General features: G+C 38.3%; 1 protein-coding gene across 5 annotated transcripts in view; it reads left to right on the forward strand.

The window, feature by feature from the left end:
• The window catches only part of PELI2 (pellino E3 ubiquitin protein ligase family member 2), a 183,114-nt gene that overhangs the window by 15,999 nt on the left and 154,024 nt on the right, over window positions 1-13,091 (forward strand). Inside the window, exons 1-2 of one of the 5 annotated variants that reach the window (XM_017021479.2) lie at window positions 385-949; window positions 10,538-10,591. The exons of 3 other annotated variants lie outside the window; for them this stretch is intronic. The gene's annotated coding sequence lies outside the window, so the exon portion shown is untranslated. Of the gene's footprint in view, window positions 1-384; window positions 950-10,537; window positions 10,592-13,091 lie in introns of those variants that run through there. One more of the 5 variants, XM_011536990.3, reaches the window with a different exon arrangement.

Genomic DNA, 13,091 nt, shown 5'->3' on the forward strand with positions numbered 1-13,091 from the left:
CTGTATTATTTTTTCCTGATAGTTATCCATCTGGCTTTTGTATTTATATGCTTGTATTTATGTTTTCACTCTGAATCTTTTGCTTTTCAACTCCTTTCCTTTGATTCTTAGAGAACTTTGTGCTTATAATCTATATGTGATATTTGCTGTTCAGCCAATTTTGATGTATTCTTTTTTCATGTCCCTACAAAAATACTTGCTATTTGTTGACTTTTTTGCCTCCACTCTGCTCCTATGTTGAGTGCAGCTTGTTGTATTTGAAGCAAGACTGCTGGAGTGATAACCGTGAAAGCCAACTTCAGTTTATTTTTTTCTCTCTTTTTTAAAAAAAATCATTATGAGGAACCAGTAATCTTGTCAGTAAACTATTTTTTTTTTTTTTTGCTGGAGAGAGTTGAATATAGCAGGAAAATATAAACCATCTTTTTTGTGTTTTTCTTTTATTACACCATCCCCCAATCCAATTTCCCAACCTGACTTCAGTTCGTAGAATTCTCAAATGAATATTCATCTCCTTTCTCCATTTCTAATCTAGTTTTTATAGGGACCATAATGGATAATGAAATTTCTAAAATTCAACTTACTGATAGGATTTATAACAAATAAAAAGGGAAATGTAATATTTTTAAAAATTACGTGTATAGTGGAGAGCAGTGTGGTGGCATAAATTATTCTGCATTAAAGTTCTTGGTCTTAATGGTGTCTCTGCAACCCCAGAGCTGTAGTATAACTGTGAAAGCTACACAGACACAAATCTGGTTCTGTGAGCATGTGTGCTGCCGCGTGAGGGCCCCGTGAGTAGAAGGGTGAGGTCTGCTGCTCAGTGTGTGTGCACACACCTTGGGAGTAAGCCACAATCCAAATGATTTGTGAATTGTGGCTTTGGGAAGTGGCTTAATGAATTTGTTCATTTAGTTTTGATTGGATTATAATAAGAGACTGTCTTATGGTGAGTATCTGGCCGATTATTTTTTGCCTTGTAGATTTTCTTAATGGTGTGTAATGGGCGCATGCTCTCAATAAAAAATGATGCAGAAATTGCAGATATTTTCTCTGATAAATAATCCTCAAGGATGGTAGCTCAGAGATTTTGAGGGCATGTTGGTGGTTGATGAATCAGTTTATTATTGAAGATCTCTCAAGTGAGATTTCTTCAAGAGGTGACATCTTTTGGCTTTCTGTTACAAATGTATCAGCTACACATGGTGACTATTATTAAATTGAAAACAGCCTTTATTTTTCTGATAGACTATTTTTCAAAATCTGGAACTGTTGTTTCTTCTGGACCAAAAGTAACTTGGTGAAAAAAAGACCAAGACTAACAGTGTAATATGCTGTATGTTTTGCTTGCTAAGAAAACTTGAGTGGTTAACAACCTTGGCTTTATGTAGTAAAGACCTCTGTTAACTGGAATGCTTCAGAAGAGGCATGCTTTTGGACTGTGGAAGTTTTAGGTTAACTGATGATTAAGCAGAAATCTTTGTAGAGGATTTTTTTTAAAATTAGAGTTTGTGATTCTGCTTTTTCTAACACATCATATGGAGTCTGCTTGCATCTTTCTTTGATGGATGAGGCTTACCTCGTTGATCTTTCTGAACATTAGTGATTGTTGAATAACACTGTAAATTTAAAAGATGTAGAAAACTGGGACCCAACAGAATTCTCTGAAAATCCCATTTATACATGTTATTCTTATAGATAAAATTAAAACTTAAAAATCAAGTGTTAAAGGATGTTTAGCTCTCTGTAAGGACAGATTGTAGGGAAGGCATTTCTGTTATCCAGGGTTCCACTGGTTCACTTAGATTCTGCGTATTTGAGTTTTTGAGTATTTTCAAGGGGGTGTGGTGGAATGTTGAGGTCCACAGTGTCTCTGGTCACACCCGGAGGTTCTGGATTTAGATAGCATGGCAACAAAATAAATATGTTTACTTGGTGCATCTGCGGTGCTTATAATTTAGAAGCATCACTGCTGTCAGATTATATTTTTAACCTTTTAAACTGGCATTTCCTTGTAATGCATTGGGCTGTTGAAAATGAGATTAAATCAGGGTTTCAACTGAGGAGAATTGGGACCAGAAAGCAAAGCTGGAGATGTCATATGTGATATATCATTCTTCAGAGCTGTTTAGTTAGAGGGCTGCCTTTTGTTTAAATAAGAATAAAAATAATAATTGGCTACCTCAGCCCACTGACCTTGGAAATTGTTACATCCTCTGATGTAATTTATTAGTGTAACTTAGTGAGTGTCAGGGGTTTTAATTGATGCATAAAGCGCAGAATTTATGTGGGACTCCTGCCATGGGTCTCACTCTAAAGTTGAATGTGTCTTTCTTTTCCTCTTTTTCTCCTCTTTCTCCTTCCCTTTCACCATCCCTCCTCTTCCTCTCCCTTCTCCACTTCTTCTCTTTGTAATTGTGCACTCTGAGATCATTACTTTCCAGGTAGACCTTGGCAGTTTGTCTTTGGCAGTTTCTTCTAGGATACATGTGGAGAAAAACCCACCAATATAGAATTAGTGTGTTTCTCAGCTTCTTGAAAAACTGCTTCACACTTCCTTGCCTTCTAGTTAGAGGTGACAGTGTTATGCCTGGCTAGTGTCTAGTCTTATGTTGACTGGACAGGTTTGCTTGGGTGTTACTGAAACAAAATGAGTTTTCACCTACCCAGTAGAAACCTGTACTGCATAAGAGGTAACAGTGTCAAGTTTACAGCTAGGAGTTAAAGATGGGATTTGTAACCTCTTTCAGAAAGTTTTATGTCTCATCATTAACACAAGCCCATAGTAACCTTTTTTTTTTGTCTTAGAAGAGAAAGGCTGTTGAGTGTGTATAGTAAGATGAATTTTTCATGTGAAATTTGAGAAGTGTCTTTCTCAGTCATTGGAATGGGTAACAGAGAAAAAAATGAGCTTTTTGGACCACATAGCATGTCATTGCTCTGCCTCTGGATTAAAGTGGAGGAAAAGAATGAAACCCTATGCTACCTAGAGCTTAGCGGGTCATTGGATCCTGTCCCATTGCCAAAACAGCAGACTTTTTTCCAGGTTCCCTTGACGGTACTCTGACCCTGGTTCCTTATCACCTCCAGAATGTTGCTGATTTGAATGTCTTAAGTTTGATTCTTCTGCTGGAGATCAGGCTCATGCATATAGAAAGGAGCAATGTAGAAAAGTGCGTCGTTTCCCCTTCTAGGGGAAATTGCTTCATAACTGAGCAATATAGTTATGAAAAAACACTCACATTCGTGTGTGGAGCTCTAATTTGACCATCAGTTGTTTAAAAAGCAAGATTGTGCGATCACATTTGAGGCTGATGGATTTAAGATGTTAAATTGTTCTGAGTTTATTTAAATTGCTGATGTGCTTTAGGGAGTCGAAAACATTGATCGTTGCAGAGAGTTCAGAAACCTTTAAGAGTAGTGCTTGGATCATTCTCGTAGAGCTATTAGTTGATGTCACATATTTCAGTTTGAGGTTGGGATGAGCTTGCTTGCTCTGGGCTGTGGTTCCTTGCCTGACATCACTTCTTTACCTGAGAAGTTATGGGAAGCTCCCAGGTGCACATTTCCCTTGGGCTGTCTTGTGGCTGCTGTCTTTGCTGCCTCTGTATCCGTGGAGGAGGGTGCTTTGTGTGCTCGATACTCCGCGATGTGGGTCAGCCAGGCTGCATGCCTTACCTCTCCCCAGCCCGCTCTCGCTGCACCGGCTTGCCACTGATGCCTGCGTCTGTTAGGTGCTCACCAGAGCGTTACAGGGCTCAGAAAATGGCTTTCTCTAAGAAATGGCTGTTTTTGTTTAAAGTAGTCATTTTCCATGAGGAGGTAAAAGTAACTTCAGGAATATTCTTTGAAAATTGTACATGTATTTGGCAAAAAGTGCCACATCTCAAAACAGATAGTGCATTTCTACATAGATTTTGACACAAATTTCCATACACTTGGAGTTAGAGTCTGATTGTGGAATTAGAAAACACATTTTCCAGGATTTGAGCATTTCCTCTCTTAGGTGTCCCCTGCAACTTTTTAATCAAAGTACAGGTGATTCTGTGGTTCTTTTTTTTTTTTAAAGACTGAAAAGTATTCATGAATTATGTTCTACAGTATCTACCTTTATTAGACTATGAAACGACAGCTGCTTAATAGGAATATTATCGTTTTGACTTTTGTAACTTCGTAAAATGTCCTGTTTAGTACACTTAAGAAAAAGTCAGATCTACGATTAGTGACGTGTGAATAATAATGGAATATTAAAATTTTAGAGGTTTCATCCACCAAGCCTGTCTTAGCATTTATTCCATTTCAGACTATAACTGACTTATGGCATAACTAAAATATATAGTAAGCACATTGTTTTCGCATATTGTCAGTCTAGTAATGTCTGTCATTCATTCACTCAGCTTGTGTGAAGTCTCAATAGTGTGATTATGGAAACGCTCAGTTCAGGTTGAAACAATGATTTCTCCTGTGTTGTTGATTTGTTTCTTTTCTCAGGTGCCTTTTCACAGCCTGACTTTTACTTCTTTCCTGCTGACAAAGTTGATGAACATGTGGGAAGGCAATGGGAAAAAATGGGGATTACATGTGATTCAAGCTGTTCCAGCCTGACAGGGTACTGGAGGGATTTTCAGAATTGTGGAGACAGCTGGGTTGAGGGGGACTCACTGAATAAGCCACAGAATCCTTAATTATCTAACAATGTGCCTTGCTTCTCGCACACCCTAAATGATAGGGCATTACATACCCAATCACTTTCCTTGGTTTGGTGCTGGCTGGAGGTGGAGATAGAACGGGAGGAAGGAAAGGAAGACAGATGGGCCAAGGAAGGTGGAGGAGGAGGGAGAGGATGGGGGAGGAGAGAGACCTTGTGGGCTGCTGAATACAGTGGGATTGAAAAATAGTGGGTTTTCTTTGTGCTTGGTAGTTCTGTGATTTAATTGTCTTAGACTAGTTATGAAACTATGAAAATTGATTGATTTTTATATATTTGCTATGAGATTGCTTATTTTCTAAGGAAAGTACCCTGAAGTTTTTTGTTGCGCTATGACAGTTCATTTCTTATTGAACTGACTTCTTTCCCCCGTTTGTTGCTGCTTATTATTGTTTACTTTTCCTTTTCATTCTTCTTCTTTGGGTACGTTTTACATTATGGTTCATTAAAAAATTTTAGATTTACTTTTGTTAAGTACCTGAAGGTCTTTTTAAAAAAATTCTTACTGCCTTCTATGTTTGCAGCTTGTTCCCCCACCACACACACCTTTTTCTGTTTTTCTATGTTGCAAACTTTATTTTTTAAAGATAATTTTCTAAAAATATGATTCTGCTATCCAGTGAGACTCTACTAGCACAGATGAAAGAAAAACTGGGCCAGAAGTCCTCACAGTAATCATGTCACACACCACTCCCAATTCGGCAGTCTTTATAGCTGGTAAAATTCAGCTCCTTTCTTTGGAAGGGGTGATGCAAACCAGCTTCTTTACTAAAAAAAAAAGGTGAGATTTTAGTATTTGAAGTTCGTCATTTGTAGGGCAGCTCATTGCTGTTAAAATTTCTGGCTTTTCTGGCTTTCATCAGAAATGAATGATTAATTTATTCTGAAAATGGACCTTTCCTCCTTCCCCCTTCTCTTTTTCCTGCCTTGTTAACGTCTTAGCACATGTCTGAATGAAATGGAAGTATAGCTCTGTTGATTATAGCTAAATCACCCGTCATGCCTCAAACATGTATAATTTAGAGCTGGGTGCTTCAATTGAGTGCTGTTACATCTGAAAGGTTTATAATTTTACAGAATTGATGCACACTTCTCATGAATGTCGTCAGGACTTGTAAAGAATAGTTAATAACAGCCTCCTCCTCCCAAAACACAAGCAAATTCCTTCTACCCCATTGTACTTATTCATTTAAAATGAATTACAACCATATCTATGGTCACTTTAAATGAAAGCCATTTGAATATATTCTTGTTAGGTGCAAATTAATCTAATTTCTTCAAAAGTAGTCAAAGCAACAGTAGATACAACAATAATGTCTCCTTAAGTTCTATTTTGCCTTCACAGTGAGGTCTAAAAAGAAAAGGACATTAAATTTAAGCAAACCTTTGAAAACAACTCCTGTTTTGAAAACAAGTTTTTGAAAGTTTCTAAGTCAAGACTACCTACATTAAAGAGTTATATGCAGATGCCATACAATCCTCAGTAGGATCATATGCCTCTTTAAGAGGATGTTTGTCAACTTCTCCTTATGGAATAACGGCAGGGAAGAAGAATATTGAAGACTTAAAAGTACTTTTAGTTTTTAACTTTATCCCAAGGACTTAATAGTGTTTTCAATTTGAAATTTTGGTTTAACCACAAGATGGAAAAATTAATGATGCAAGAACTGGTGCCCACAGGATCTAATGGGCAAGTTGGGGGGTGACTTGGTATTATGGGAGCTTTGCTGTTCATCCTGAGGTACAGGAGGGAAGGCCAAGAGAATGGGAAAGATGCATGAAGCTGGCAGGTTTGCTGGCCTGGGCATGGGGTTGCTGACATAGCAGCTGAACATTGATTTCTATCCTTTTTCCCCTCGTACTCTATTGTTTAGTTGTCCTGTCTGCTGAGGAAAGCATTAGTTCAGGAGTATAAAAATAGTCGTTTTGTCTGGTTTGGTGAGAACCCAAAGGCTATGGCAAGGCTTGGACCATCAGGGAGGGATGGCTGTTCATAGTACTGAACAGTTTCCTGGGAAGTCTGGGATTCCGTTGCATAGATGAAACTAAAACTTGTTTCATTCAACTTAAGACAAAGTTTCCATTTGATTCATAATGAAAATGCTTAACATTTTCCAGGCATTATTCTGTTTACTGTGTGTATGGGTCCGGGAAAATTAAATGTAGGAAGAGACGACATCAGACCAGAATGTTGTATGTGCGCCCCTGTGCCCTCAGGGCTTTTGTCAGGACGGACGTTAGGACTGGCAAGGCAAGATTGGCTGGCACGAGAATGGCCAGTTGGGCAACTAAACATCTTTTCGTCTTTGGTCTGTTAGGTTTTTTCTGAGGTGGAATTTGCCTCACAGTTTTTAGGAGATAACTTATTTCATAGACCAGGTGTTAGCCCATTCTCATGTGGCTATGAAGAAATACCTGAGACTGTGTAATTTATAAAGAAAAGAGGTTTAATTGACTCACAGTTCGGCATGGCTGGGGAGGCCTCAGGATACTTACAATCATGGCAGAAGGCACCTCTTCACAGGTCAGCGGGAGAGAGAGTGAGGCAAGCAGGGAAAATGCCAGATGCTTGTAAAACCATCAGATCTCATGATGCTCACTCACTGTCATGAGAACAGCATGGGGGAAACCACCCCCAAGATTCAGTTATCTCCACCTGGTCCAGCCCTTGACACGTGGGGTTTATTACGGTTCAAGGTGAGATTTGGTTGGGGACACTGAGCCAAACCGTATCAGACCCTATTCCTGGATTTGAATTATAAACATTTCATGACAAGGAAAATTCCTTGTAGCGTTGTACAAAGGCCTTGATAAACTTAAACAAATGCAAAGGGTGTTGCTTGTGGCTATTCAGTACCATATCAGTGTAGTTCTGATCTTTTCCAGCTCTAGAGAGTTCTTTTATTGGCAGTGGTCTCTAAGTTACTGTGATTTGAGTCTGCCTATCCCCCTTGGAAATAAGACGTCACTGTGGGCTCATAACTTCAGATAGCGACACTGATCTCTGCTTCATCTGTAAAATTTTGGCTCACCCTTTAAAGTTAAAACAAACTCAAGGTTTCAAGTAAATAGGCAACAAATATATTACTCATTTAGAAATCTGTTGGATAGAATCAAGACATGCCACTTCTTGAATGCTATTATCTCTAAGTGGAGGCTTGCTCCTACCCACTGCACTGTCTGAGAATATGGTGGGCTTGCGAGAGGAAACTCCCACCGAGCCATTAGGCTCCCATTTACCAGTAACTGGGTGCCTCACAGTTGCTAAATTGTCAGAGTTAGGAATTTAATACTTAGAAGTGGTGGTGAGCTCCCTGCGTGGGGACAACATAGTAGTATCCCTAACCTAGAACCTGGCAGAGGTCTAGAATATTGTGGGGGCTTAGTAGAAATGTACTAAACAAGGAATGAATGAATCAGTCTTCCACACCCTTCTCTTTGCATACGCATTTACACATAATTACATATACATTTGTCCTTTACAAAATTCTCAAGTTTGATTTTTTTCCTTCCAGGCCAGTTTAGTTCCTTTTCATTGTAAATAAATAGGATGAGGTTATGGCATAATTTTTTTTAAACACTAAAGATTGCTATTTATAATACTTATTTTTAATAAAAATAGGAGTACATAGCCTTCATGTTTCAAATAAAAAAGATGAAAAAAACTACTGCCCTATTTTTTTTAAGATTAAAAAATTATAGGACCAGATTTAGATCTTTTTAAACTACAGCTTTTTTTCTTTGCTTTTCATTTTGATCTTATGTAAAAATTGTTCAACTATACAGAGAGTTCCCATATATCCTTCATGCTTCTTCTAATATCAGTTTTCATATTCATGGAAAAATTATGGAACCTGGAAATTAGCAGTGGTACAATATTATTGCTGAAACTACGGATCTTCTATGAATTTCACCAGTTTTTCCCCAATCCTTTTTTTTTGGTTCCACAATCCAGTCTAGTATCTCACATTGCATTGGTTGTCATGTCTCCTTACTCCCTTCTAATCTGTGACAGTTCCTCAGTCTTTCATGACCATGACTCTTTTGTTGAGTACTGGTCGGTTATTTTGTAGACTGCCTCTCAATTTGGGTTAGTCAGTGTGTTCTTGTGGTTAGGCTGAGGCTATCCAGTTTTGTCTAGAAGTCCACAGAAGTAATGTGTTCTTAGTGTATCACAGCAGGATACACTGCATACAAATGATGATGAAATGTCTTACCTTGATCACTTAGTGAAGGTGATGTCTGCTTAATTCTTCTCTGTAGTTATTATTGTTCCCTTGTAATTGATAAATATCTTGGGGGAGACACGTTGAGATGAATTTTCATGTTTTCCCTTAGACTTTCACCAGCTGATTTTAGCATCCATCAGTAGATCTTGCCTGCAAGTTATTTCTGTGATGTTTGCCTAATGGTGATTTTGTATTTCCTTTATTTCTTTTTTTCTTTATTGGAATTCTTCCGTAAGGACGGTCTGTCCCTTCTCCTTCATTTAAATATTTATTCAGTTTTTTATATCAAAATGGAGTTTGGGATATTTATTTTGTCCTATGATTGTAATTCAAAGAAGTAAATTGTTATTTACTTTTTTGCTCAGACTGTTTCAGCTTTGGCCATTGTTGAGTTTCAGCATGTTGGCTCCTGTGTCCTTTTGACATGCCCCATTGGGCACTTCCTTGATTTTTAGCAGCATATGATGTTTTAGGCTCACCTTGTATTTTCCCTGTCTCAGCCTGCAATCAACCACTTTTTCACAGAGCCTCATTTCCTTTTATTGGAAGATGATATTTAGAAGTCAGGATCTGGGTGCTAATTGAACTCATTGCTACTGGATTATCATTGCTTCCAGACTATCTTGGTGGAGAGCTAGGAAAAACATGCATGTATACTAGCATATGCTTGTATATACATCTATATTTATTTCTATATACATGTATTTGTGTGTGTGCATGTGTATACTCATACTGTACTACCGCTGATTCCAGTCTAACACCCTAAGAATCATTCTAGCCTTCTCTTTTCCCTTACTTGTAACTTCTTTCGTAGACAGTGAGAAACTTGGTTCTCATTACTACAGCATATTTACTACCTTGTTCAATCCTATTGTATCATTGAGGATTCAACCAGAGAAACAGAACTAGCAAGAGATATATTAAAAAGATTTCTTGCAAGGAATTGGCTTATGTGATTATGGGGCTGGCTAGGTGAGTCCAAAATCCATAGAGCAGTCTGCCAGGAAAGACAGACTAGAACTCTTGGGCATGAGCCAAAGCTGATGTCCACAGGTGGGATTCTTCAGGGAAGCCAGAGTTCTGCTCCTAAGCCTTTTCATCTGATTCAGTTAGGTCCCCACAGGCTATCTAGGAGAATCTCCTTTATGTAAATATAACTGATTATGGACTTTAATAACATCTACAAGATACCTTCATGGCAGCATGCAGATTAGTGTTCGAATAACTAGGGACAATAGCCTGGCTGAATTGACACATAAAACTGGCCATCACACCTAATATATGCATAATATAGTTACAAAATTGCTAATATGATAGATATGATTATAAAATTTTGTAAAGATGATGTATAAAATTTTGTAAAGATGATTATAAAATTTTGTAAAGACATGATGAATGTAAAATAGCACTGTTCAGAATCTCTAATTATGCATTTTATTTATGATCTTGTTGGGCCTCTTGCCCTGTAACTCCAGCCCTGTCTTACCCTGTAATCTCAGCACTTAGTATGGGGCCTTGTACAGGAATAAAAGGAATAAGGATTTCCATCCTACTATTTCTTTATTACTGACTTTACTCTTTGCCGGTGTTTCCATTACAGGAGAAGAGGGATGTGGAAGACCCAGTTTGGAAGGGGTTAGAAAAAGACCAAAAGGTGGGTGTTAGGTTAAGTCCTGGCTTCTAGGTGTATTGCTATGAAGAACTTCCTGAGACTAGGTTCTTTATAAAGAAAAGAGGCTTAATTGGCTAACAGTTCTGCAGGCTGTGCAGGTAGTGTGGCTGGGGAGGCCTCAGGAAACTTTCAGTCATGGCAGAAAGCAAAAGGCAGGCACATCTTCACATGGCAGAGCAGGAGAGAGAGTGAAGGGGAAGGTGCCGTATACTTTTAAACAACCAGATCTCGTGAGAACTCTATCAATCATGAAACAGTGCTGGGGGATGGTGCTAAACCATTAGAAACCACCCCCATGATCCAGTCACCTCCCACCAGGCCCCACCTCCAACACTGGGGATTACAATTCAGCATGAGATTTGGGTTGGGACACAGCCAGACCGTATCTCTAGGAAAATGTTTCATAAATGTTCTTTTTGCCTCTGGTTAATTTTGAAATAGTTCAGTGAATGACAGATCTGTTTCAGTCACAGAATGCCTGCTTTCCCTCCCTTCCCCACACCTTCTTTCCACTCCTTCTACAAGTTCTGCTTAGTTAGGTTTTATACCTTTGAGAGCAGGATAACTCCCCATAGTTTAAAGCTCCAAAATAGATTAGCCGAGGGCATTATCAGACAGTAGCAGTTCACATTTTTTTCATTTGGAGTAGCAGCAGAATGCAAACTATCATTTATTCAACCATATTTTATGAGAGTTTTTCCTATGCCATGCATTTGGGCTACAGAAAGGAAAAGATACGGCCTCTGCTATGAAAGGGTATATATTCTAGTGTACTGTTTCTCTAATTTGAGTAACATATGGTTCTGTTTCAAAGGGAAAACAATTATCTGAACTCCCAATGTTGACTTACATTACTTTTGTTATAATATTACTGAAGTATGTAGAAACCTGTAACTAGGAGTAAGCACTTTATGCTTACATATTTTTTACAGCTATAAACCAAAGCCAGTTTGTAATGAAATATAAAACTATAAAGTCATTGAAATCCAAATTGACTGTATTAATGTGACAGATGACATTGTTTTGCTAAAACAGAAGGACTGTTTGCAATACAAAATATTGTATTGACTCATCCCGGCAGAGGTTTTTAAGTTCAGACTACCTCTCCTGCGTGGGATGACTCAGTGTTCCTAGTTCTGTGTCGGAAATGCTGAAGTCCTGGTTCTTGTGGAGTGCAGTATGATTTCATTTGGTCTCCTGTTGCCCCAAATGCATCATCTGTGTGGTAGGTCTGCCTCTTGGTTTTTTGTTAGTGACAGACAATGGAAATGGTAATAGTTTGCCCCATCATGACTCTAAATGCAGTACAAACTGGGACATTGAGAAAGAAGATTTAAAAATAGTCTTCTTTACATATTGTGGACCCCTAAGAATAGGTCCATGAATCTCCCTTGGCGATGCATTGGTTCAGTGGAGAGAGAGGTGCAAACATACTTTCACCATATGATGTGCTCATTACTGTACTGGAAGTTCGTATAAGATACAGTCTGATGGTAGGAGAAGGTGTGAACATTAGGTTGAAACTTGAAGGATGAGAAGGATTTTGCCAGGTTGACATGTAAAGGAGAGCATTTCCAGCAGGACTAACAGAATGTACACAGTCATAGGGTCTTGGAGGAATGGGTGGTTCTGTACTATTGGAATATAGTACAAACTTGTGAAGTTGAAAGTAACATTCTAGCACAGTCTTCATTACGGAATTATTAGGTTTGCATGATGAGAGATCAATTTTACTTGTGTTATAACATTATAAGATAAAGGTCTTCTTTTTTTTTTTCTTCTTTACTGAGGTGTTCTTTATATGCCATACCTCACCTACTTCAGTACAGTTCAGTGGTTTAGTAAATTGATACATTACTTTATATGTTCATCACCACAGTCCAGTTCAGAATACTTTCATCACCATACATTGTTCCCTCCTGCCAGTCTGTGGTTAATTCCTGTGCCCGTCTCAGCTCTAGGCAACCACTGATCTGTGCTTTGTCTCTATAATTTTGCCTTTTCTAGAAATTTCATAACGTAGGATCACACAGGATTTAGTCTTTTGAGTCTGGTTTCTTCCACTTAACATAATGTTTTCATTAGTCATCCATGTTGTAGCATGTATCAGTACTTCTTTTTATGACCAAGTGATATTCCATTGTATATCAATGGCCATGCCACATTTTGTTTATGTATTGATCAGTTAATGGACAGTTGGATTGTCTTCAAGTTTTGGCTATTATGAATGATGCTGTTATGAACATTTGCTTGCAACTCTTTGCATGGATGTATATTTTTCTTTGGTAGGTACTTAGTAGTGGAATTGCTAGGTCTTGTGATGAGATGCTGTACCATCTTACTGAGTTTATTGTATTACTGGCAACAAGCCATAGTGTTGTCATTTGCATTTATGGGGAACAGCAGCACATGTACATGGGGAAGAGGGAATGAGAAGATATGAAAATCACTGGTGGGATGGCTTCTTTCTTTGTCTCTTACT

This window comes from Homo sapiens, chromosome 14 (genome assembly GCF_000001405.40).
Source record: "Homo sapiens chromosome 14, GRCh38.p14 Primary Assembly".
In the NCBI taxonomy this organism is placed as follows: domain Eukaryota; kingdom Metazoa; phylum Chordata; class Mammalia; order Primates; family Hominidae; genus Homo; species Homo sapiens.